We start from the raw sequence: 5,749 nt of genomic DNA, 5'->3' as shown, positions 1-5,749 counted from the left end.
AATATGCCAAATTTCCATGACCTGGCAGTGCTTACAGTTTAGCAAGCAGAGACAGATAGTAAATGAGTAAATTATTCAGTATATCAGAAGATGAAAAGTTCTCAGGGAAACAAAAAGTAAGGCAGGGTAAGGGAATTGGGAATATAGTGGGAAGACTACAGTTTTAAAAACAGTGGTCAGAGTAGGTCTCATTGAGGAGATGACTTTTGAGCAAAGACTGGAAGGGAGTGAGGAAGTAAGCCACGTGGTCACCTGAGTGAAGAGCATGCAGGTGACCAGAATGAAAAGGATTATTTGCAGTGCAAAGGCCCTAGGATGGAACACACCCAAGGAGGCTGGTATGGGTGGAGAGCTGGAGGAGAGGGGGAGAGCTGTAGGAAATGACATCAGCGAGGTAACAAGGAGGGTGACCAGACCATGGAAGGTTCTGAGAACTTTCATTTTTACTGAGTGAAATATGGACCTGCCGGGTACAGCGGCTCACACCTGTAATCCCAGCACTTTGGGGGGCCGAGGCGGGTGGATCACCTGGGGTCAGGAGTTTGAGACCAGCCCGGTCAACATGGTGAAACTCCATCTCTACTAAAAATACAAGAAATTAGCCAGACATGGTGGGGGGTGCCTGTAATCCCAGTTACTTGGAAGGCTGAGGCAGGAGAATCGCCTGAACCCAGGAGGTGGTGGTTGCAGTGAGCTAAGATAGTGCCATTGCACTCCAGCCTGGGCAACAAGAGTGAAACTCCATCTCAAAAACAAACAAAAAAAAGAAATATGGAACCAGAACCATGCAGGGTTTTCAGCAGAGGAGTGACATGATCTGAGTAATGTTTTCAAAAGATTAGGAGGCTGTTGCAATAATCCAGGAAAGATACAGATCAGGGTGGTTCAGCAGCAGAGGTGGTGAGACATGGTCACATTCTGGATAATTTTTGAATCAGAATTTCCTGGTAGAACCAATGCTAGATGTGACAGAGGAGACTTAGGAAGAACTCTGAGGTTTTTGGCATGGATATCTGGAAGCTTCAAGTTGCTATCAACTGAGATTTAGAAGGAGGAGGTTTGGGGAGAAGTCAGAAGTTCACCTTTGGATGTGATAGGTTTCAGATATCTGAGAAATATGCTGGAGGAAGGGTAGACACTTGTGTACAATGAGTCTGGAGTTCAGGAGAGAGGTCTTTCTACACTGGAGATACAAAAGCAAATGAGAATGAGGTTTTCAAGGGAGGGGTTGGTGACAGAGAAGAAAGTCAAGGACAGGAGACTTCTATTTTAAAAGATAGCCAAGAAAAGAAGGAACCAACAAAAGAAGTGGATAAGGATTGACCAGAGGTGACTCTCTTTCAAATCAGGAGGGAGAAACTTCTCTCTAGGCTGTTTTTATAATTTGAAATGTGTGATTTGGGGAAGTGATGTGATCCTTGTGTATGGCTCACAGTGGTTTCATGGAAGCTCTAGGTTTGGAGAAAACAGCCTGGGTTATATTTTCCTGTGTATGTTTCTAGTATGTTTGGATTGTGTGGCTAGTGGACCCACATGCCCCAAGAGACAGAACCTTGAGACCAGGGACACCCTCTGAATAAGTCTGCTGAGGACATTTCCTTCCATTTGCCAAAGAGGGGGTGGGGGAAGTTTTATTTTTCATTTTGCCTGTTGAGAGCATTTAAAAAATAATATTCTAATATGAATTCTGTTGTGTGTAAATAGTCGACAAAAGCCTATTTTTTCTGAATTTAATGTATCCGATCCTTTTCTTTAGGACTGGGGCTTTTCTAAACTCCTTATTGATTATTGTTAACTATTAGGGTTATTATGGACTTGTTGACTGTTAGTGGTTTTTTTTCCTTTTTTAAAAATAGTCCTCTTCATTAATTTATGTCCTTTTTATCATTGTTCCAAATCACGTCTTACTTCCTGTTACTCAGCTACACAACTGAGAGTTATGTCCCATCCTCTTTAGAGAAATTTATTCACCAAATTGACTCAACCACAGCATCAGAGCTTGAGATACTATCTTTCAGGTTTTTCCTGGGGTTGAGCTATGCAAAAGAATATAAATCCTCAGCTACTCGTAAGCTGAAGTGGGAGGATCGCTTGAGGCCAGATGGTCAAGACCAGCCTGGACAACAGAGCAAGACCCCTGTCTCTAAGAAATAAAAACAAATAAAAATGTAAAAAACAATATAAATCCTTATGTCTCTTAACCTGTACACTTAGTAATTATCATATAGCAACTATAGTTGGCCAGAATTAAAAGCTTGACACATAATAACTCATTTTATCCTCTCAAAACCCCTGCGAGGGAGGGACTATCATTGTCATCCTCACTTTAGAAATGAAGAAAATGAAGTACAGAGAGATTAAGTCACTTGCTAAGGACACACAGCTAGTAAGTGGCACAGCCTCAGTTTGAACCCACAAGGCTGGGCTCTAGAGCCCCTGTGCCTAATCACTAAGCTTTGCTATACCCTTTGCCTCTTTTGGTAGCTTTCCACCATGTGAGCTGCTTCTGGCTTTGTGTTGTTGTTGTCGTTGTTTGCTGATGTTTTTGTTTTTGGTAAGATCAGAACCTCATATCTGGCACTTTCAGATCACCCTTAAAGTTAACCAAACAGCATCTGAAGAATGGCGATGCCATGAGCCAGGGAGGCCAAATGAAGGGCCACACAGATGAAATTGCTCCGGCGGCCTTCCCTGCACGAAGGCAGCTGCTATTCTTGGTGCTACAAGGTATAACGATTGTAGCTATTGGTATTTTAAGCACATTCAATGTAAAATTGACTGTTTTAATACTCTAAGGAATTCATCCATATGAAGATTTAAAATGCATTTCTTCTCAATATGATTTTATTATGATTTTTCTTTTTTAGAGACAGAGTTTTACTCTGCCGCCAGGCTCGAGTACAGTGGCACAATCACAGCCTCAAAATCCTGGGCTCAAGTGATCCTCCCCACCTAAGCCTTCCAAGCAGCTGGGACTACAGGCAAGTGTCACACACCTGGCTAATTTTTTTTTTTTTTTTTTTTTTTTTGAGATGGAGTCTCACTCTGTCTCCCAGGCTGGAGTACAGTGGCATGATCTCAGCTCACTGCAACCTCCACCTCCCAGGTTCAAGCGATTCCCCTGCCTCAGCCTCCCCAGTAGTCCCCAGTAGCTGGGATTATAGGCGCCCACCACCACACCTGGCTAATTTTTGTATTTTTATTAGAGACAGAGTTTCACCATGTTGGCCAGGCTGGTCTCGAACTCCTGACCTCAGGTGATGCGCCCACCTCGGCCTCCCAAAGTGCTGGGATTACAGGCTTGAGCCACAGTGCCCAGCCTAATTTTATAATCTTTTTTACAGATGGGGTCTTACTGTGTTGCTGGTCTCTGGCTCCTGGGCCCAAGCGATCTTCCTGCCTTGGCCTCTCAATGTGCTGGAATCACAGGTGTGAGCCACTGTGCCCGGCCTCAATTTGATTTATTAAGTGAAAGGCTCATTGCAAGAAACCATGTTTGGACACATTAAGAATCAACGTTGATATGTGGATTCAGTCACGAGCATATTCTATTGCCTGGTCTGAGTATCTGTTCCTTTCACACACTCTCCAGTGAGTCAGTACCAGCAGCAAGTTTCCAGTTTCTGCAGATATTTGGTTCTTATCCTGTAGTGAGCATCTCAAAATCTCTCTCTGCTGGACTTGCTTCTCACTGCTTGATTTCTCTGCAGAGCTCCCAATGCACATGGAGGCTTGAGATGTTTGCTCGTTTAGATGCAGGTGCTGACTCAGCAGCTTGGGCTGGGGCCTGAGATTCTGCATTCTAAGATGCTCCCAAGCAATGCTGTTGCTGCTGGTCTGCCCTGCAAAATTCAGAAGGAAGGGCCTACAGCTGTGATTCTCAAGCTTGGCTGCCCCATTGGAAACACTTGGGACTCTGAAAAATACTATTGCCTGGGTTCTGCCTTCAGAGATTCTTTGTAATTGGCCTGGAGTATGGCCAGGGCAGTAGGATTTTTCAAAGCTCCTCGGGTGAGTCTGCTGCTCAGTCATGATTAAGATCACTACTTTTGTTTAGAGCAGTGACCCTCAAATGTGTGGGCTTCGACCATCAGCACTGGCATCTCCTGGGAATGAGTTAGAAATGCCAATTCTTGGGCCCCAACCCAGACCTGAATTAGAAACTCAGGTGCACCTGGCTTCCATGTTAACAAACCTCCATGTGATTCTGATGCACATTCAAGTTTGAGAACCACTGGTTTAGGGGCTCAAACAATATATTTTCCACTCCTCTTCCTATCCTTCTTGGTCCCTTTCCCCCTCTTCTTACCTCCGTCCTTCTCCTCCCTATGAATCCCTCAACCCAATGTTTGCAAACTGTTTAGAACAGTAAGGCTATGCTAAAATACGATGATAAAAAGCTAAGAGTTTGGGGATGGGTGTAGAGAAAGCAATTCAATTGATGCCAAATATGCAAATATTTGGGTCATCTTGATAATTGACAGTTGATCACTGCTATGGTTTGAATGTATTCCCTCCCAAAATTCATTTGTTGGAATCTTAATCCCCAAATGCAAGAATATTGGGAGGTGGGACTTAATGGGAGGTGTTTAGGTCACAAGGGTGGTGCCCTCATGAGTGGATTAATGCTGCTATAAAAAGGGCTTAGGGGATTGAGTTTGACCTGTCTTCTGCTCTGCTGCCATCTGAAGACACAGCATTTCTCCTCTCCAGAGGGTGAAATCTTCAAGACACCACCTTAGAAGCAGGGACCAGGCCCTCATCAGACACCAAATCTACTGATCTTACACTTCCCTACCTCCCAAATAGTAAGAAAAAAAATTTCTGGTTTTTATAAATTACCCAGTCTGTGCTATTCTGTTATAGCAGTACAAATGGACTAAGAAAGGCAATCCACTTAGGGACTGTGTACCCCAAACTAGAGTGAACTGGATGCACCGAAATGTTGTAAATCCTTTGGTTACACCTTAAAGCCAGTAATGTCCTACTACATGTTTGGAAGGATACCAAATGGAAATTGTTCTAATATATGCTTCTGCCAGTCACCCTCTAGTGCTTTTGATAGTACTGCGTAGATCTACTCAATCAGAACCTTCCCAAGCCCAGGCTGACATGGTGCCACTGTCTTTAAGCCCCCACTAACACCTCTGGGGTGATGTTCTCAAAGTCTGTAGAGCTAGTTCTTCACCTGTGTCTTTTATGGCCCTTGATCCCCGAGGCTGTCAGGCCCTGTATACTTGAATCTCACTGCCCTTCACATCTGAGGAAGAGGCTCCCTGTGGGCATCGCACCTAACTTTGTGCAGGTGACAAATATTCATGGAGAGCAGACTGTGGCCAGGCTGCCAGGGGATTGAGGAGGCAAAGCAGCTTCTGGTAAGCGATGTTCCAGTCCAGTGGGAGGGTGAGCCCAGCACACAGAAATGAATGACTCTGCAAGCCTAATGCAAACACCTGGTTCAGTGTTCAGGTCACTTGGCATGCTATTTACACAGAAAGAGAGCAACGTGGGCCTACTCCTAGGAGAAGGAAGGATACCTTTTGCCTCAGGGCATTAATATTAGGCGATCTTTCATTTACTTGTGGCAAGATACATATATCATAAAATTTGCCATCTTAATCATTTTTAAGCATATAGTTCAGTAGTGTTGCTCGTATTTAAATTTTTATGCAATCAAACTCAAGAACTTTTTAATGTCACAAAACTGAAACTCTATGTGGATATCCAATAAACAACACCTTCCTGCTTC

General features: G+C 43.9%; 1 annotated feature.

Moving 5' to 3' along the window:
• Positions 214 to 313: an enhancer, noted in NCBI's record as "active region_7650". NCBI's record gives its function as "activates an Ori minimal core promoter by ATAC-STARR-seq in GM12878 lymphoblastoid cells {active_cell/tissue: GM12878}" and the evidence as "EXISTENCE:reporter gene assay evidence [ECO:0000049][PMID:35858748]".

The sequence above is a fragment of the Homo sapiens genome, chromosome 13, assembly GCF_000001405.40.
Source record: "Homo sapiens chromosome 13, GRCh38.p14 Primary Assembly".
Classification (NCBI taxonomy): Eukaryota; Metazoa; Chordata; class Mammalia; order Primates; family Hominidae; genus Homo; species Homo sapiens.
The sequence above is the reverse complement of the archived record's forward strand: the minus strand, read 5'-3'. Positions and strand labels throughout refer to the sequence as shown.